Source organism: Homo sapiens, chromosome 12 (assembly GCF_000001405.40).
Source record: "Homo sapiens chromosome 12, GRCh38.p14 Primary Assembly".
Lineage (NCBI taxonomy): Eukaryota > Metazoa > Chordata > Mammalia > Primates > Hominidae > Homo > Homo sapiens.
This window is the reverse complement of record NC_000012.12, coordinates 43,122,031-43,144,263: the sequence shown is the minus strand read 5'-3', so window position 1 is coordinate 43,144,263 and position 22,233 is coordinate 43,122,031. Positions and strand designations below refer to the sequence as shown.

The window sequence follows — 22,233 nt, the reverse complement described above, 5'->3', positions numbered from 1 at the left end:
CATTTCCCAAATCTTCATCATACTCCATTCTTAATTTAAGGCTAATAATTCTAAGAGCTCATGATCTATTTACTTACAATGCTCCAGGGTCATCTCAAAACTCAACTTGCTTGTTCTCATCCTCCCAGCTGCCTGAGACAGAAATTTTCTGGTTTCTCTTGACTTGTTCCTTTTCCTCATTTCCTGTAGTTAATTTATCTCAATGACCTGTGTTCTGTCTCTGAAGTCAGTGAGTTCTAAACCTGTTGGCACATGAGAAAACATAGGAGGACAGCTATTAAAATGCTTATTCCTGATACTCAAACCTGAAAATTTAGTGGGGATTGGCTCTATATTTTGTTTAAAGCTCCCCAAATAATTCTGATGGATAGTCAGTTTTCATAAACATTGCCTTTAAATATTTATCTAATTTCTCTTATTCTCTCCATCTGTGTTGGAATTACATGAAATTCCTATCTCCTACCTAAAGTATTCCAATAGTTTCCTAATTTTTTTTCTCTCTTACTCCATTAATCTCCTTTGGATTTCAGTTGATTCTCTACAGTGATTATGTCATTCTCTTTTTAAAACTTTTAATAGAATTGTGGTTCATTTTGTAGGATGGTAGTATCTGGAGGATCAGAGGAGGACTTGTGGGATGTTGGTAATGTTCTGTTTCTTATTCTGTCTGTTGGCTACATGGGCCTGCTCTCTTTTTGAATATTCACCAGGGGCTACCTTTAGATGTATTCCTTTTTCTATTTTTATATTATGTTTCATTTTTTAAAAAGTGAAAACAAAACTGATAGCTCCTCTTCAGGTACTTCTCTGCTCTCCTCCCCTGTACTGCATTTCTGGCTATTTTTCTACCATGACTTTGTTCTTTTGCACAGACACTGTTCCTTCTCCTTAGAATACCTTTCCTGCCTTCTCCACTTGGTAACTTTCTCAGGAACTGTCTTACCTTTAAATAAAGTTAGTTGCTTCCTATTCTATGTTCCCATATTACTTTACTTATTAATCTGTTTCTGTTGTTATTACATTATTGTGTGGTGTTTTGTTTCCACCTCTGTATCTCAGGTTGTAGAGTAACTATTTTATTCATCTTTATGGTCCCATGCAGAGAACAGCAAGTGCATATTACTGCAATTGGCAAATACTATGAGCTCAATAATGCTTTTTAAAATAATATAAATGAGTCCTTGAGTATATATTGTGGTTTCATTGACAAGACAGGTGTCTTAGACAGTTTAGGCTGCCATAACAAAGTACCATAAACTGGTGGCTTATAAACAACAGAAATTTATTTCTCGCAGTTCTAGAGGATGGAAGTTTGAGATGAGGGTGTCAGCTTGGTCAGGTTCTGGTGAGGGCCTTCTTCCAGGCTGTAGCCTGCTGACTTTTTGTTGTATCCTCACATGGTGAAAACAAAGTGAGAGAGCTCTATAGGATGCTTTTTATAAGGCCACTAATCCCATTCATGAGGGCTCCATCCTCATTACCTAATTGCTTCTCAAAGGCCCCTGTGCTAGTACCACCGTATTGGAGGTTAGGACTTCAACATATGAATTTGAAGGGAACGGAAACATTCCATAACAATAGGAAATCTTGTATCAGAAAGGAAAGGGATGTAGACTAAATCCTGTTTTTAGGGATGAAGTTATGGTTGTTAGACACACGTACATTGAATTTGGATTGAATACAAGCACAACTGAATCACTGAATGTGGTTAATCATGACTACAGTAATAATCTGAACTGATGAAGAACCCAAGCCTAGGAAGCAAAAGCCCTGGGTTACAGTTCAGGCTCCAAAATCCTGGAGCTTTGGATAGGTCATTTCATCTTGTAAGTCCTCCTACTTTCTATATTCATAAAACGGGATAAGTGAAGCTTTTAAATAGATTTCCAAGGTCCCCTGCTTAAGATGCATCCCATTGTGTCTGCATAATCATCAAGAGGAAGAAGCTATCAGTGTTTCACAATTCATCATGTGAACTGTCAGTTAGGATGCATAAATGTGATTCTTTTGATCTGTGTTTCTTTTCATTTCTACTCTATTAGAGTATATCAGTCATGAGATGAATAAATTCTATCAATTTATGTTCAACAGAGAAAAAAGTTATGCAATTATTTAAAAATGTAATGTATCCTTTAGCAGCCAACTTTCCTAAGGATTGTAAAAACAACTTTATTGAGATATAAGTCATATGCTATACAAATCGCTCATTGAAAGTTTACAATTCAATAGTTTTCAGTATATTCAGAGTTGTGCAAATACCATCGCAATGAATTAGACATTTTATTACCCTCCCCACCAAAAAATCCTGTACCATTATCAATTAATCCCTCAACTCCACCTCCCTGACTCTCAGACTTAGTCAACACAGATCTACTTTCTGTTTCTATAGAGTTGCCAATTCTGGATGTTTCATATAAATAGAATCATTAAATATGTGGTTCTTTGAGAAGGGCTTCTTTCACTGAGCATATTTTCAAGGCTGACCAATCTTGTAACTTTATTCCTCTTTATTGGAAAATAATATTCCATTGTGTAGATAACCACATTTATCCGCTCATCAATTGAAGGAACTATCAATTGTCTATTACAAATGATGCTTATATGAACTTTCATGTACAAGATTTTCTATGGATGTGTTTTCATTTCTCTTGAGTATATGCTGACAGAGACTCTCTCCTTAGGCAACCTTCTCATGTTTTTCTGAGCCTTCTTGGCCTGCCACTCTGCCCTTGCCCAGTTCAGTTTTAGCAAAGAATACATGTAAGTCAGTTTAGCAAGAAGCTTTCCCGCCCTTCATATCTAATCAAGTTCCTCATTCTTCACCCTTGATATCCAAGTTTTTGACCAATCTTTAGCAATCCTGTTAAGCTACTTTGCAGGAATCCACTTCCTGATGTCTCTCATCAAATTCCTTTCAGTAATTTTTCTGTCTACTGACCCCTTTGCTCTGCTCATCTGGTGACTTTTGCTGTAGTTGGAGTTTAGCTCAGTTCTGTACTGAAGTCTTTATCCCTACTTGTATTAGTCCATTCTTACACTGCTAATAAAGACATACCAAGTAATTTATAAAGAGGTTTAATTGACTCACAGCTCCACATGGCTGGGGAGACCTCACAATCATGGCTGAAGGCAAATGAGAAGCAAAGTTATGTTTTACATGGTCTCGGGCAAGACAGTTTGTGTAGGGGAACTCCCCTTTAAAAAACCATCAAATCTCGCGAGATTTATTCACTATCACAGGAACAGTACCGGAAAGACCCACCCCCATGATTCAATTACCTCCCACCTGGTCCCTCCCACAACATGTGGGAATTATGGGAGCTACAGTTAAAGATGAGATTTGGGTGGGGCACAGTCAAACCATATCACTATTGTAATAGCTCAAATAAAATCTGTCTTGCCACTTTTAACAAATGTCCAGCACATTTTTTCCAAAACCTAGCAGTAGAATTGTTGGGTCATATGTTAATTCTGTTTAAACTTTGAGGAAGTCTTAGACTGTTTTCCAAAGTGGCTGAACCATTTTACCTTTCCACTTGCAATGTGTGAGAGTTCCAGTTTCTTAACACTCTTGCCAACATTTATTATCAACTGTCTTTTTAATTTTAGCCATCATTGTGGGTATCAGAGGTATCTCATCGTGGTTTCAGTTTGTCTAATGGATAACATTGTTTAGTATCAGCTCTACATATACAGAGTGCATATTGGCCAATGATCTTTGGGAAAATACCTTCTTAGATCTTAGATTCCTTGCCCATATTTATATTGAGTTATTTGTACTTTATTTTTTATTCATTTATTTTTTTTGAGATAGAGTCTCGCTCTGTCACTCAGGCTAGAGTTCAGTGGCGCAATCTCGGCTCACTGCAAGCCCTGCCTCCCGGGTTCATGCCATTCTCCTGCCTCAGCCTCCCTAGTAGCTGGGACTACAGGTGCCTGCCACCACACCCAGCTAATTTTTTGTATTTTTTTAGTAGAGACGGAATTTCACCATGTTAGCCAGGATGGTCTCCATCTGACCTCATGATCCGCCTGCCTTGGCCTCCCAAAGTGCTGGGATTACAGGCGTGAGCCACCACGCCTGGCCTGAGTTATTTGCACTTTTATTATTGAGTTGTAAGAGTTCCTTATATAATCTGTTTGAAAATTCCTATCATATATGTAAGAAAAATGCTGGCCACGTGGAAAGAGTTGAAAAGCGTTCCTTCTTTGATTAGTTTATTTGGGCAGCTATAACAAAATGCCATAGACTAAGTGGCTTATAAACAATAGAAATTTACTTCTGAGAGTTCAGGAGGCTAGGAAATTCAAGATTTTAAAAAATGGCATATTTGGTGCCTATTGAGGGCCTACTTCCTGATTCTCATATGCAGCTGCCTTCTCACTATAACTTTCACATAATGGAAGGGATGAGGGAGTCCTCTGGCACTTCTTTTATGAGGGCACTAATCCCATTCATGAGAGCTTTACTTTCATCACCTAATCACCTCTCAATGGCCCCACCACCTAAGACTATCACTCATGAGAGCTTTACTTTCATCACCTAATCACCTCTCAATGGCCCCACCACCTAAGACTATCACATCAGGATTTAACACAGGAATTTTGTTAGTATTTAACATATGAATTTTAGTCTACAGCACTCCATTACTATTTTTTGGAAATATTTGTGAAGAACAGGTATTATTTCTTTAGTGGAATTCACCAGTAAAGCCATCTGGGCCAGAGCTTTTGTTTGTGGGAAGTTAAAAAATTATGAATTCAACCTCTTTACTTGTTATAGATCTAATTAGTTTTCTTTCTTCTTGAGTCAGTTTTAATAGTTTGTGCCTTTCTAGGAATTTGGTCATTTTAGCTAAATTACATAACTTAGTGGCATACAGTTCTTCATAGTATTCTCTTTTAATCATTTTTATTTCAGTAAGATCAGTAGTGATCGCCTTTCTTTCATTCCGGATTTTAGTATAATAATTTGAGTCCTCTCTGTTATTTTCTTGGTCAGTCAAAGATCAATTTTGTTGATCTTTGCAAAAACCGACATTTGGTTTCATTGATTGTATCTACTATACTTCCACTATCTATTTAACTAATTTGTGTTCTATTCTTTATTTTTTACCTCCTTTCTACTGACATTAGGTTTAGTTTGCTCTCCTTTTCCGGTGTGTCTAAAATGGGAGTTTAGGTTATTGATTTGAAATCTTTCTATTCAAATAGGCATTTACAGCTATAAATTTCCCTCTAAGCACTGCATTCCCTGAGTTTGGACATATTTTCACTTTTATTCATCTTAAAGCATTTTCTAATTTCCTTGGTACTTTATTTTTGACCCATTCGTTATTATTTAGAAGTACATTGTTTAATTTCAATGTAATTTTGAATTTCCCAAATTTCCTTCTATTATAGATTTCTCATTTATTTGATTGTGGTTGGAGATATACTTTTTATGATTTCAACCTTTCAAATTCATCAGTCTTGTTTTATGTACCGGTATATGATATGTCTTAGAGAAATTACCATGTGTGCTTGAGAAGAATGTGTATTCTGCTATTGTTGAAAGAAATGTTCCAGAGATTTCTATTAGGTTTACTTCATTTATACTGTTGTTCAAGTCTTCTATAGACTTGTTGATCTTCTGCCTAATTGTTCTATCCAGTATTGAAAGTGGAATATTTAACTATTTTTGTTCAATATACTATTTCTGTCTTCAATTCCATCAGATTTTTAAATGAATTTTGGGACATCGTTGTTATGTGTATATACGTTAAAATTTATTATATATACTTGATGGATTAACAATTTTATTATAAAATGTTCTTTTATCTCTAGTAACATTTTTCATATAAGTTTGCTTGTCCAATAAAAGTATAGTCACTCCAGCTGTCTTATGGTTTCTACTTGTATGGTATATTTTTTTCCAAGATTTTTCTTTCAATATGTTTGTATTTTTGAATCCAAAATGTGACTTTTGTTCTTTTTTTATTTTATTTTTTGAGACACAGTCTGGCTCTACCACCCAGGCTGGAGTGCAGTGGTGTAATCTCAACTCATTGCAGTCTCCACCTCTGGGTTCAAGTGATTCTCCTGCCTTAGCGTCCTGAGCTGCTGGTACTACAGACATGTGCCACCACGTCTAGCTAATTATTTTTGTATTTTTAGTAAAGACTGGGTTTCACCATGTTGGCCAGGCTGGTCTCAAACTCCTGGCCTCAAGTGATCCACCAACCTCAGCCTACCAAAGTGCTGGGATTACAGGCATGAGCCACCACACCTGGCCTAAAATGTGACTTTTGCAGACAACATATAATTGGATTTTTTTATTTGTTAGTTTTAATCCAGTCTCATAATCTTTGGTTTTTGACTGGATTGTTTAATCCATTCATACTTGATGTTACTATTGGTATGTTTAAATTTATATTTTCTATTTTATCTACTTTTCATATCTTTTTTATTCTTCTGTTCTTCCTTTGCTTTTTTCATTAATTTTATTAATAATTTTGGTATATCTTTTAATCATTTTATTATTGCACTGTGCTTTTAGTATATGTGCTGACAAACCAAACACACTCTTTTTTTAAAGTAATTTTCTTAGTAGTTGTTGTAGGTTTTACAATATACAAATTAACTTGCCAGGATATATTTCAGATTTATATTAAATTCTAGTGAGATAAAAAATGTATTCATATATAGCCCTATTTTTTCCTCCCTCTTTTCATGCTCTCATTGCTATACATACTATGGCTATGTTACAAACCCAATGATATATTGTTATAATTATTACTTTAAATAGTTTTTTGTCATGGAAGAAACTGAGAGAAGAAAGGAGAGCAAGTGTATTTTATTTTAATTTTTATAAATTGTTTTTACTACACTTTTTGTTGGGTTACTTCCTTAGTGATTGCTCTTTGACTTACAATACAGATTTTAACTTATCAGAATATACCTCAGATTTATACTACTTAATTACAGTGAGATATAACAATGTTAATCTTTTAAACCTGTTGTATTTTATTTTGTTTTTGAGACAGGGCCTCACTCCATTGCCCAGGCTGGAATGCAATGGCGCGATCATGGCTTACTGCATCCTAGACCACCTGGGCTCAAGCAATCCTTCCACCTCAGCCTCCCAAGTAGCTCGGACCACAGCCGGCTAAGTTTTTTGTATTTTGTAAAATAGAGACAAGGTTTCGCCATGTTGCCTAGGCTGGTCTTGAACTTCTGGGCTCAAGTGATTCTTAATCTCCCAAAGTGCCAGGATTACAGATGTGATCCACCATGCCTGGCCAAAAAAATGCTTTAAATAAATATAAATGCCTCTCCTTTTGTGCTACTATTGTTATGCATATCAGGTACATAAAATGTATTGAGATAATTATTACTTTGTACAATTTTATGTCCTCTAAAGAAGTTAAAGAAGAAAGGGGAGCAACTATATATTTATAGAGTTTGTTATATTAAACTTCTCATTTCTATTTCTGGTTTTCTTCATTTCTTCCTGTGGATTTCAGTTACTCTCTGTTGTCATTTTCTTACTCTAATACAACTTTGTGCTGTTACTGCAAATATGTTATATGTCTATATATTGTAGATTCAACAAAATACTTACATACATATTGTTTTATACAACTTCTTTTTAAATCTGTTCAAGGAATAAGGGAGAAAAAAGTCTAATTATAGTGTCTTTACAGTTACCTACATAATTACCTTTCCCAACACTTTTTTAAAAATGTGGATTAAAAGCAATAATAACCAAAATAAAAACTTACTAGAGAGATTAAATTCAAGCTTTGAATTGACAGAATGACAGACATCAGACAGAATTACTCTCTGATGTCACTTGCCTTCAGCCTGAAGAACTTTCTTTTGCATACCTTGTAAAGTAGTTTTTGATAACCAAAATTTACCTCAGTTTTTTTGTATATGGAAATGTCTTTGACTTCATTTTTGAAAGCGTGTTTCTTAAGATAGGATTTTTGGTTTATAATATTTTTCTTTTAGCCCTTTGAATATGTCATCCCACTGCCTTCTGGCATCCATTGGTTCTGATGATGAATCAGCTATTGGTCTTATTGCTAATGTGGTGTGTGATTTTTCTCTTGCTGTTTTTAGGATTTTTCTCTTTGTCTTTCAACTTTTTAACTATAATGTATCTGAATGTGGATCTCTTTGTATTCACCATCATTTGGAGTTCAGTTCTTCAATTATACTTGATGGTATTCCACATTTCTCTGAAGTTGTTTTTTGTTTTTTCACTCTTCTCTCTTTTCTTCAGATTGCATACACTCTACTGATCTGCCTTCAAGTTCATTGATTATTTCTTCTGTCAACTGGAAGTTTGAATTTAACCTCCCTAGTAAGTTTTTATTTTGGTTATTACACTTTTAACCCCCTAAACTTCCATTTACCTCTTTAAAAAAATAATTTCTATATATTTATTGATAGTCTCTGTTTGATGAGGCAGTATAATTATATCTTCCTTTAATTCTTTAAGCATGGTTTGTTTAAATTCCTTGAACATATTTGTAATAGCTGCTTTGGAGTCTTAGTTAAGTCCAACATTTGGGCCCTTTCAAAAGTAGTCTCTGCTGCCTGTTTTTCTTCCTATGTATCAGTCATGCTTCCCTGTTTCTTTGTATGCTTCACCATTTTGCATTGAAAACTCAGCATAAAAACTCGATACTGATCTTCCTCCCACCAACTTTGAACTTACTCTAATTGTTTGCTGGTTTAGTTGCTTAGTGAACTTGCTGGACTATTTTAGCTAATTCTATTTTCACTTCAGTGTTCAGCCTCTGACTTTGTTCCTTGGATGGCACAGTCCTGGGCATGTGCATAGCCACTCTACATCCTACATGCTGAGGGATGACAATGGTTTTAGCTGGAATCTCTTTGACTTTCTCTTTCCTTGTCCATGCAAAGCTTCTAAGTGGTCTGCCTCTGGTGTCATAACTTTCTAGCTATTGAACTTTCATAATTGCTAGCTGATTGTTCTTTTTTGATAATGTTCAGGGGCACAAATTACTTCACACTCTGAACCAAGGAATATCATCTCTTTTACAAAGATGGTCTTTGAGGCCAATCTTCACAGCTTGGTCAGACCCCAGGAGGACTCTTCTAGGCTCTCTTTCCCTGATTCTCTGTTAAACTTCTAGCTAACCTACTATTTCACTTGTTCTCATGGAGCTACCTGCCTTTCCTTAATTGCTTACCACCAAAATCTTCTTCATTTTTTTTGAATTCACAGCATTCTTAGGCTTGAACTTCCCCAAACTCTGTTCAAAATAAACCCAGTCACCATGATGTGAGCTATGGATCTCTCTATGCTTACAGTCTGCTTCTCTTCCTGTGCAGGACCTACATAATGGCCTGCTTGTCTCAGAGTAATATGCCTAATCTCTAAGTAGGGTGCTAGGTAGGGCAGTAGCCCCTTGGCCTTCTTGGCTTTCCTTTCCCAGTGTGGAACCTCTGCTCTGTGAAAAAACTCATAGAATTCCTCATCTTATGAACGAGAGTTGGTTAGAGAAAAGAGTCCCAGACCTCAATGGCTGCCGGGATAGAGTTTCTGCAACACAGAACAGAGGATGATGAGACACGCTGGTAGCCCTTTCTGCATTGAGAGAAAATGTAACCCTAGACTAGGAGCAGAAGGAACAGAGAGTCATACCTTGGTTGCACAAACCCAGAGTAGAACTTCCATCACACTGTCCTGGGGTTGGGGTGGAAAAGAATGGGTGATGGCTCAAATGGCACAGAATCTTACTCCTCTAACTCAGATTTAATAGCTTTTCCCAAGTCAGTGTTTCCCCATTTGCTATATGTCCTTAGGACAATTTCCAGAGACTTTACATGGTTGGTTTTTAAATGATTTTCACCAGTTATAGTTGTTTCACTGGAGAGAGCATCAGAAGAGCCTCTCATTCTGTCACTCCAGAAATACTTCTCCTCCTAGCTTGTTTTGTTAGGGAATTCACAAAAAATTTTAGTATCATATTCCCATAAAATAGAATTGGAAAGTAGAAAATCAATCAATATGAAAGGAGGGAAAAAGCTTTTAAAACAAGCCACTATTTGAATTACTATGAACCTTATTTTTTTTCAAACTAACATGCGAAGTGTTGATTTAATTAAAGTTCAAAGTTAAAGAGACTTCATTTTTTGGCAAAATGGTGATTAGATATTCTGACATCTTCAAGCATAAAATGCCCAAGATGCTGGATAAAGTATAAGAATCATGTTTTAAAAAACACCCATAACCTGGCAAGGAAGTAAGAGAAATAGTCAGAGTGGTAATTTTTTTCTTAATAAATGTTTGCATACAAGGATTTCTATTAAATAAGAGTTTCCTCGTCTCATTAAGCAGAAGTACAGAGATTGGCTGTCCTTAGCCAATGCAGCAGCTCCATCTGCATCCCTGGATCCTTTTATGTTCTGTTACATCTTTCATACTGTAGGTCTTTCACCCTCAAACTGATATCCCATGGATTCAAAATCACTGTTCTATCTCTAACCTCATGTCTGCACTCCAGGATAGTCTAAAATGAAGAAAGCAGCAAAAGAAGGGCCAAGACCTATCTGAGAGATGAAAAACTTTTTGTGAATCTCCAACAGATTCTGATTGTATCTTCTTGGCAAGAACTGTGTCACATAGCTACATCTAGTTACCAAAAGAGGCTGGGAAATATATTTTTTGAAGTTGGATACCTTACTGCTAGGGGGAAAGAAAGCCAAGTTTCTAAGAAAAGAATGAAAAATGGGTATTGGATAGGCAACTAGTAGTGTGTTGCCACAGCAAGAGTATGGAAAAAAGGAGATGCTTATACATTGGTATTCACAGTATAATTTGGCACAATGGCTTTGAAGAATAATTTAGCTATAGCTATTAAACTTAGAGAAAGAAATGAATGAACTAGGGCTACTGATATCAACATGGACAAATTGCAAAGCAGATCCCATATTTGGAAAAACCAAACACTTGTTCAGGAGCACAACTTTCCTAATTATAAGGAAGCAGCCTGGTTTAGTGGCAAGAACATTAATTTGGGAGCCAGCAGACTAAGTCTCAAATCCCTCCTTTGAAATCTGAGGACTCTGTATCCTTAAGCCAGTTGTTTTACCTCTCTACCTGCTTCTCCATCTATAAAATCAGAGCAAACATCCCTGTGTTCTAGGATTGTTGTGCAGATTACAGATACTCTGTTTTAATGTGGTTAGTCTTGGATCCGATCCTTATTAGGTGCATAGTAAATTGATGCTCTGATGCATAAATTAGTTTCTTAGTTTCTGTGCCCTGAGTGACTTCATACACAAACTGTGGTATCACTTGAAACTGCTATTGAAACCCTAAAATTGTTTGAACCAGCTTTTTGGATTCCCATTGTCATTAAGTTCTAAGCTATCCTTTCCAATGACACACCCAGGACAAAATAAACCAGAAAATGGAAATTGTGTAGTTTTTTACATAAATTTAAACCCAAGAGGCCATGATTCTTAAGGCATTCTAACAACACTAAAAAGTGTATCTTTTTACAAGATAGGGAAAATACTATAAGTATTTGAATGTCTAGTACAACTCTTACTTTATATTTTGTATATAGTCCATGTTCTTAAGTTTACAAGATTTTTTGTAAATCTAGGACTCTTAGCACTTACAAGAAAGTGTTTTTATATGTATCATAAGCAATGTTATTATGTTGCTTACCTCTTTTAGAAGATGCTAAAAGCAAAGTTATGATGAGTTGGCAGTGTTTACAAAAAAAATTCTAAAGAGACGCCAATATAAACACACATGTTGGACAAGGGCCACTTGGTACAAGAGTTAATGCTAAGATCTTATATGTTATAAGATAAAATACCAGACTTCAAACAGTATCCCTCACTCCTTCCTTAATGTATGGGCAGCATATTTCTCCATGGTTACTTTGGGGCCATACTTTTGATTGAAATGTTTCATCTTTTGTGCAAAAAAACATTTTAGGGGCATTAATAGATGACATTTTATAATAGATTCTTTAGAGTTGATTTGATCTTTTCTAGCTTTAAAAAACAGAAGAACAAAAATCCAATATAGAAACATGAGGAAAGTAATGAGTACTTTTTAGTCTTAAAGGAGAGACTGAAGGAAGTAATTTACTGGTCAAGTGTTTGATTGGCAAGACTAAGCCCACCATGTTCCAGAGAAGGCCATCACCTGAATCAAGTACATAAATGTTCACAGTGCAAAATGACTGCTTCTTAAGAGATCCTTTCACCTCTGTAAAGGTGTCACAATTTCATACATTTACCACTTTAGGAAGAGTGAGTGATTTTAATATATGATTAACAGTTATCAATAATGTAGTTTAACTATTTTACAGATGAACTGCCCTTGAATGTGAGAAAATGAGATTACTGGCCAAGCTGCATCAGATGATGTTGATGGGGAGAGAAAGATCCAAAATCTCAGAAGGTTGTCAGAGTGGGGACATTCTGGAGGAAGAGAGGATAAAGGAAGAAAGAAAGCAGGAGGGAGCTGGCAACAGAATTGACTTACTTTCTAGTCATGTCTGAACCTTCGAAGAAAGAAGACAGATAGAAGAAGGAATACTAATGCTTCAAGAAGGTAGGAGCCTGTCAGACTGTGTTCCATCTTGGGCTTGAAACTAGAGACCAAAACCTGAATATTGGGGAAAAAAGAAAAGATGGGTGCTCTTGAGAAGACTAAAAGATGCGCATACCTTCCACCCTGCCATTAGTCTTGTGGGAAGTGTGGATCACCTGTTGAGGCTCTGAAACTTGGGTCTGTGTTTCTCTGCAAAGGAATGCCAAGAATGTCCAAGTGAAAAAAATAGACAGAGAAAAGAACTACTTCTGGAAGGGCAGGAAAACTTAAGGGTAGGCAAATGGGAGTAAATCATTCTTTAGCTAACATATTGGGAAAATCATTAAAGAGAAAGAACATTTTTAACTGGCAGGTTACAAAATAAATTTTTATTTTTATTTACAACCCTTTACTCAAACACTTTGTGGAAGAAATGTTCAAAATTGGATCTACATTGAGCCACAGGCAAAGAGGTTAGAGTGGTTTTTATCTTTTTCAGCAAAAATAAGACTTAGAAATGATAAGTAACCCAAAGTGTGAATATGATTGCCCTCCATGCTTTTTCTCCAAATATGAATCTCATTTGGCTACCATTATTTTCCTGTCTTGATGAGATATCTTCCATTTATTCATTCTTTGATTCATTTCTGTTTAGAATAGACATTGGATGTATTGCTATAATCATTCAAGCCCAGTAGCAAACAGTATACTATAATCTCTCACATTGCAGTCCCAGGCAGGGAGGAAGTTCTGACAACCTGAATGCTGCTGTTCAGAAGGTCTCCCTGGAAGGAAAAAATGCCAACAGCGTGTCTAACCACAAAGAGAGCAGAAGCCTTCCAAAAGCTACAGAAGAAGAGACAAGGTTCCCTCTCTCAACTCAAGTTAAAGACACTTCCATCAAAAAGGCATTTCTAAAGGATTTTGCAGTGATTTATTGAGATTTTCCCCCCAAGAAACCCCAAATCAGAAGGTTTTGATCTATTAAAGCAATATAAAACATGGTGTCAGTAAAATTTCTGGTGAAATATTTCCTGAAACTAGCTAGTAATCAAAATTCAAATGTCACCAAATGGAGGCGGGGGAATAGTCTACCTGTGCACCTCTTGCACTAATTTAACTAGAGGTTCTTTCCTGTTTATCTGGGTACCCAGCTCTGGAAGTGCTGTTTGGAATACTAGGTGTTTGAGGCCCACAGAATGAAGTTCAAACTCTGCCTCTGTGTATAATAACTAAACATGGGGAAGTTATTTCACACCTTTGACACTTTCGCATCTATAAAATAAGGATGACAAAATTCACTTAATGAGATGGTTGCATGGATTACATAATATACATTGCCAAGTTATAGCACAGCGTTTAGCATACCACTCAATCAAGTGCAGGTGGTTAACTTTTATTAATCAATTTGTGTTGTCTAAATATTTTTTTGTTCTATAAGACATGAAACAATGAATACAGTTATGTTTGAAATTATTTTATATGTTCAAAACTTTCAGCCAATTTTACATGATTAATTGACCTGTGATATCTAAAAAAGAAAATTGTCTCTTTGTTTAAAACAACAACAATAAAATAAAAAGAACTAGAGGTTGAGACTAAGACCAGGAAATCTTCATTAAGCCTTTATTCAGTGGTAGGCCTGTGCTGTGTTTGGGTGCTAGAAAGATAATTAAGAAAGGTTTCTCTCTATATAATTTGGTGAAATATGTTTAGATTAGTATCTTTGTTTATTTTCTGTTGCTCATAGTAGAATATCTGAAACTGGGCAATTTATAAAGAAAAGGATTTTTTTTTCTTGCAGTTATGGAGACTGGAAATTTCATGATCTGGGGGCACATCTGGTGGGAGCCTTCCTGATGGTGGGGACTCACTGTGGTGTCCTTAGGTAGTGGCAGGCATCACATGGCAAGGGGGCATGCAAGTTAAGGTGCTATCTTAGACCTCTCTTCTTCTTATAAAGCCATGATTTCCCCTCCCATGATAATCCATTAATCCATAAATCAATTGATCTATTTAGAAGGGCAGAGCCCTCATGATCCAATCACTTCTTAAAGGCCTCCCCACCCAATACTGCCACACTGGGGACTAGGCATCAACATGAGTTCTGGAGAGGACATTCAAAACCATAGCAATTAGGAATCATATGGGACTGGATGGCACCTGTGGTCCTCTGTGACCAGGTGCCTGCTTCCCTCTTCATTTTCACCAATCCCTCAATGCTCTTGCCTCACTCTTTACTCCAGCACACCAAAAGCTTGCTCTCTGGCACCAATGTGCTACTTTTATGGATTCCTTTGCTCAAGCTATCATCTAAGTCTGGCTACCTCCTAGTTATTCTTGAAGACTTAACCCAAGCATCATGACACCCTCAATTCATCTTCCCTTCCCCTCCTCTTCCACTCCATGTCTCCCATCCCCACTAAAACAGGTTAGGTGTTACTCCTTGGGGTTTTCATAATACCCATGCATATTCCTATAACTGTAGTTATTATGACAACCATAAGCTCTTTAGACTGTAACTTATTCATCTCTGAACTTTTTCTTCCAAGCACAGAGCCTGGCACCTAATACAAACTCAAAAATAATTAATGGGATGAATAGACTAATAACTTCTTGTTAGAAAACAATTCAATAGTAGTGGTAGACACAAAGACAAGATCTCTGATTTGGGATTAAAATCTCCACTCACCAGATCCCACGGCATTCCTTGGAGAATTCTGGACAATGCTAATATATCATCTTGTTTTTTGAATGGGAGGATTTAGGAATAAAATATATGACTCTATTATGAGTCAAGAATCTGGCTTGAAATAAAGTCCATGTCTCTAATTATCCCACCAGAGTTTCTGTGCCTCTACTGTGCACACTACTCCAGAATAAAGGTTCTAACAAATGTTCTATGGTATCATTATTCAGTAGCAGGAAATTGTGACATGATACCTTAAGATAAATGAATCTAAGCACACCAGTTGAGTCTGGATGAGTTTAACGGAAAACCAAATTTATTCAGACTCTTTTTCTGTGACCTTGCAGGCTACCCCAAGTCTGGGGATATATATGACTAGAGATTTGACAGGACTGTTTACAAATTCATAAGATTTTATTGATTACATGATAGAAAAAAATTTAGAGTTGGTCTTACATTGTCATTTGCATTAGTGAGGTTGAGAGTTTTTGTTTGATCTCCATTCAAGCTTTTAAGAAGCTTGGAAATTGCAGGCTGAAGCAATTCAAATTTATGCAGAGTTTGACAGTGAGTTAATTACCAGAACTATGCAAAATTGAATTTTCAGAAAACAATTCTGGCATTTTTGAATAGTTGTATGTTATGAATGTACTTATACATAAGCATATGCAAGCTATCTGTCAAGTAGCTGGCGCAATTTGAAGACATGTCCACTTAACAGAAAATATTATATTTCAGAGAGTCTTACGAAGCATAGAGGAAAGACTACAAGTACTTTGCCCTTTACCCTTGAAATGTATGCAGAACCCCAAACTGGAGTTGAACTCATAATAACTGAATTCCCAGGCACCATACTTGTTAAAATAGATACAGACACTAATCCAAACATGCAGGGTGGTCTCTTCTTAAATATTCACATTCCACACACTGTCACAGACATACCTCAAATCAGAGCAAGCCTTAACATGGAAACAGAGAAGACAACCATCTCTGCAGTGTGATTTCAAACATGTTCAGGTGGCCTAGCCTCCAAAATACCACATCTTTGCACCAGCTAAAGTTTCCGAATTTGAGATTCATTTTGTGTCTTAACATTTTGAACACTGTTAAAATGAAAATTTTCTGACATATATACATAGATAATGAAAGAGAGGAAGGAACAGCTTTAAAATTATTTTTCTCTTTTCATAAATAAATTTATCAGATATTTTTCTAAAATTGATTATAAGAGGGAGAAAGATGAGAGCATGAATCCCTAGGTACCCAAAAAAAGAAGGTAGCACCTCTATTAAGTAGACAATGGATGAAAGTCGAGAAGGAGAGCATCAAAAGCAAACTTCCTACATTGATATTTTCCTAGTATGGGGCTTGGGCCCTATAATTTATATGGAAAAAAAAAACACCAAAAGCAGGTGTGGAGTTGGAGGGGGCGATGTTTTTCTTGCTCTTCACTCTGTCTCTTCAATGAGTCACATTTTTTCCATCTGAAACTTTACTTGTTTTCAAATTCTCAATATGGTCCAAAGAATTAGCCAGGAATCATTTGGTTGCAAGAAACTGACACCCCCATAAACTATACAAACTGTCAAGTTTATCGAAAAGATTAGGGAATCTCAAGGAAATAAGGTGCTGGCAATATACTGGGGTTTCAGTTAATCCAAAAGTTATGAGGCAGCCACTTTACCTCTTTGTTTCTGCAGCCACATCCCATCTCTGCTTATCTCTGCATGGCTGCCTTGTTTCTAACCTGCCTTCTTGGAAAGGCTCTTGAGTTTTGGCTTTTCCATAAATGTGGCTATCATTGGCCTGAACCCCAACTCCGGCTCTAGGTAATTGTCTAGTTCAATATCCACAACAAAACTAACTCAATATTCTAACTCTCAATTCCTGAGAGCCCAACTTGAAAAAGATTTCCAAGTCAGATCCTAAAACTGGCCAGCAAAGGGGAGTCCCTTGGTAGATATCTGCATAACAACATTAAATTTTTCAGCAGACATTTAGTGGGAGATAAATGATCTTGGAGCAATGTTTCAGAAGGAGACACTGACTAGGCTTTTCTAGGAAGTTAATAATGCAGAGATAGATGGAATTTTTTTAAAAGGTATTGCGGGATATTGTAAATTCTTCCATCACATTGGCAGGTTTTCCCCAACACTTTGGCAGGTGACTTGAGTTCTGAACCCTCCAAATAAAATATGCATGACCCCTACTAGTAATCATGGAATAAATAATTCCAAAGATTAGTCCCAAGATGTGCAAACCAAATATTTTCTCAAACAGAAGATATATACCCAGTATAAGCATACAAATTTGTTTATTTGACATATATCAGTAGAATGGTTATGTGGTGCTTTGCCAGTAAGTAAAGAAACAAAAGGTGGGAAAAAGAAATCAATTACAAAAATCAGAACCTTCTAAATGATGTTCCTAAATAGAACATTTTGGAACACCCAAGATCAAGATTAAACAGGAGATAGGAGAAACATGCAGGAGCATCTGGGCTCACAAAATCTTTTTTGGTATATTGTGGAATTTTCTGAGCCTTATGAATATCAGGAAAAGGAAAAGTCCTCCTTATATGATTTCTTCTCCTCCCTTTGGTATACTACATAGTTCCCAGCTCCATGGACCTAAAACCCAGGCTCTAATAATGTAGTATTAGGTTAATTTCCATGTGAATGAGGACTTTTGCCCAGTCTTGCTATCTTAACCATTTCTTATTTTGTATGACAAAATGTTTTAAGATTCAAATCATTAAACTTACAAATAAATTTCCACAACCAGTTCTCCATTGTGAACTGTTTATATATCTAGTAGAAACTCTACTGTAGTAGAAACACCACTTAACCAACTTACAAAAGAACAAATGTTGCCCATCGCTGTGCTTGTGGCTAGTACTATTTCTGTTCTCATGGGTTCAGCTATATTCCTAAAGAATCAGGGTTTTCATTCCTAAATGTCTTTATGCCAGTTGTACTTGTTTTTGTAATTTTGTGATTAAATTAAATATTACTTAGACTGATGATATGTGAGTGGGAAAATTTTGAACACTTTGGAAAGGCTAAATAAATGTGAGTTGTTAAAAATTACAATGTACTTAGAAATTCCTCACACCTGTCATTTTATTCCATAATCAGTAAATACTTACTGAGTACTTACTGAATATAAAAATGAATAAAGAAATATATGGTCTCTCGATTTGCTTATAGCCCTTTGAGTAAGACAGACAAGCAAAGAGGGACTGAATAGTTTCTCATAGTCCTCCTATAGGTACATGTCTCCAGAGTACACATATTTGGAGTTAGGACAAGCTTCCAGGAGAAAATTACATCTGAGCAGACATCTGAAGAACAAGGAGAGTTATCCAGAGATTAGGAAACAGGGGCAAGGAAATTTTAGCTACAGGAAATAATGGAGGCAGATGCAGGGGAAGAGTGAACCTAACATTCTGGGAGTTGAAATAAAATGACATAAAAGTAAGTGATTTAGTTTTAGGAATGATGAAGACACTCATGGCTCATATTTTGTGTAAGGAGTTTGTACTTTATCTTGAGACTAATGGAAAATTGTTGAAGGGTTTTCAGAGAAGTTGATTAGAATTAACAATTTTGAGAGATCATGCTGACAGTACAAGGAAAAAATTGACTTGGAATTAAGTGAGACCAGTTAGAAATCCAGTGTAAGCAATCCGGTGGAAAACTGATAGTAACCTAAACTAGGATAACATGAATTACCAGAAGTGACTCAAAATAAGCATAAAACCTTAACGGACATAACCAGAAATAATTGACAAAATTGTCAAAGAAATGCACGCCACCAAAATCCCAGAGCTCAAATGGTTTTATTGGAATGTTATTTGAAAATTTTTTTTTAGGGTGATGCTGTTTCCAAACGTTTTTTAATGAAAAAATTCTAGTTGGTTTTATCAAGTTAGCATAGCTTTGGTAATAACATATCTGACAATCACACCAAATAAAACAAGCCAAAAAAAAAACCCAAAAACCTCTTAAAATGTATCTGTTAATGTATTTACAAAATTCCTAAGAGGTTATAAGCCAATTAAATATAAAGTTATATTAAAAACACATATCATAGCCAACTAAGATTTATTTTTGGAATGAAAGGATAGTTTGATATTAGAAAACTGTTTACACAATTTGTCACATACATAGGTAACAGAAGAAAATCCATATGATCATTTCAAGATATAACTGTAGGGCCTATTAATATAATTTTAATTTTTTTCATAATTTTAAAAGCTCAACTAGTAAACTAAGCATAAAAGTTCATCTTTATGTGAAAGACAATCCAGTATCATCTAAAATTATATTCCAAGTTAACTTTTAATATAAGCATTTAGTATGTACTCTATATCCTTTGCATTGTACAAAATAATCTCCATCTGCAATCTCATTTCATGTTCTTTATTAATTAATACCCCACTCAATCCCTTTATTCATCCTACCCTGACACCTTTACCTGATTTTTTCAATGATTCTGACTCACCTTTATGTCTTAACTTAAATGTTACTTTTTCAGAGGAAAATTATTTGACCCTCTGATTTAAATTAGGGCTTGCATTTTTTTTCACTCATAGCACCCTTTTTCCCCATTCATAAATCTTGTCACAAGTTACAATTACGAGGTCATATCTTTGTAAACTTTTAAAATCTTTACCTCTCCATTCGAATTTACATTAGGTCAGAAATGGTGTCAAATTATTTCACCACAGTAGATAGAACCAGTACCCTAACATGGTAACTACATATGATAGGTGCTTAATAAATATTTATGGACAAAATACATGTTAATAAATGGCAAAGAACCAGCAGCATCCCCATTAATGTCAGAAACAGATTTCTGTAGCCATTGTTGTTCGTCATTATTGGGAAGTCATAATCACTGAATAAAAAAGGGAAAAGAATGAGAAAAATGCTTTAGAAAGGAGAGATGAAATAGTCATTATTTGCAGAAGTATTTTTTATCTGAACAACCAAAGTAATAAACTGGAAAATGACTAGAATCAATACCAGATTTCAGCTTGATGGCCAGGAATTAATACAGAAATTTGAAATAGATTTATTTATGTTGGCAATAACTAGTTAGAAAATATTATGAAAAAGAAAACTCCTGATAGAAAGGAAAATATAAAAGACTAGGAATAAGTTGACAAGAAATATGAAAGTTTGCAAATGTTAAAAGGCAGAAGGAGGAAAAGGAGAAGACTGCAGTGATTTACTGGGGTCTTGAGGTCTGTGATCTCACTCCTTGCCTATTAACTGTTTCCAGCACCCCCTGTGCTTTGTGGGTCAGTATTCCCACAGCTTCTCTAGAGTCCTTTCAAACTGCTCCATACTTTTTAAACCTCTCCTTACTCTCAGCAGATGAGCTTGACTGCTACTTCACAGAGGAATAATACCATTGGATGGGAACTCCCTTAAATTCCTATTATTTACAAAGAAATGGAACTGCTTCTAAGTCTTTTCCTTCCTTCCTATTGCAATGACTTAGATGTCTTTTCTTCTGTCTAAAAGTAATCAGTAGAACTGTGCAATAGCCCTGGAGAACGTCACCGTATTGACCGTCTTCTCCTTTACTTCTGTGTCCTCCTTTCTTTCTCCTTTTTACTACAAGCTTTATGAAAAAGTAATCTGCACATACTGTCTCAATTTCCTTATCTTTTCTACACTGCTTTTGTTTTGTTTTGTTTGAGACAGAGTCTTGCTCTGTCACCCAGGCTGGAGTGCAGTGGCACAATCTCAGCTCACTGCAACCTCCACCTCCCGAGTTGAAACGATTCTCATGCTTCAGCCTCCCAAGTAGCTGAGACCACAGGTGCATACCAGCAACCCAGCTAATTTCTGTATTTTTAGTAGAGACGGGGTTTCACTATGTTGGCCAGGCTGGTCTCAAACTCCTGACCTCAAGTGATCTGCCCGCCTTGGCCTCCCAAAGTGCTGGGATTATAGGCATGAGCCCCTGTGACCAGCCTCTTTATATACTTTTTATCTCACTGTTTTCTTGTTTTTCACTAACAGTCCACAGAACTGCTCTCTTCAAGGCCATTGAGAACTTCATTGGCATCAAATCATAACATATCTTTTTAGTTCTGTTTTACTTGTCTCCTCAGTGTCACCTAACGGTATTAACAATTCCCCTTTCCTTGAAACTCTTAGTTTGGCTTGAATTATCCCAAGCTCTCCTGGCTTTCCTCCTGCCTTTCTGTTTACTTCTTGGGTCTTCTTTCTTTCTCCACCTTTAAACGTAGCTATTTCTCAGTAGCAGAGTACTAGTCTTTCTTCCCAGGTAAACTTATCAATTCCAATTATGTCAGTTACTATCTATAATACTAGCTGCTCACACATCTACATACTTCTAGCCCAGATCAATTTACTGAGCTCAAGTCCTGAATATCTAGAAATTGCCTCCTGGAATTTTTTCTTGATTCCTCTACACATACCTGAATTTTAACAAAGGTGGAAGCTGTTAAATCACTTTCTCCATGTGTTCAGTTTCTCCTCATGTTCTTGTTTATGTGAGAATGGCACCTCCTTCCAATTTGTCACTTCAGTTTAGTCATTGACTTTGACTCCCCCATCTTTCTCATCATTCACATCTGATCAATCACTGTGTCCTATCAAATCTACCTTAAATACCTTACAAATGTTCCTGCCCCATGCCACTGTTATTATTTCTTATGTGGATTTCTATAACTATCTCATAACTGGTTACCAATACTCCCTTTTCCACCCAATATTTGCTGTCCCCTTCTGCATAGAATGATGATTTTATTCAGGACTGAAAAGCATCCAGCTAAGAGAGAACGTGTCCCAGGCTACTTCAGTGTTAAGACTGGCCAAGCTATCTGGCCAAAGATTCATAGTAGAAGTGTTAAGTGGAAGTGCTTGAGGGGACTTCAGTAAATGCTGTTTGAAGACAGCTAACTTATACAGAGGGGGGGTTTTGTCCT

General features: G+C 36.1%; 1 annotated feature.

Annotated features, from left to right (window-relative positions):
- Nucleotides 16,891–17,091: a silencer, noted in NCBI's record as "peak1697 fragment used in MPRA reporter construct". NCBI's record gives its function as "represses an SCP1 promoter by STARR-seq MPRAs in K562 erythroleukemia cells {active_cell/tissue: K562}" and the evidence as "EXISTENCE:reporter gene assay evidence [ECO:0000049][PMID:32103011]".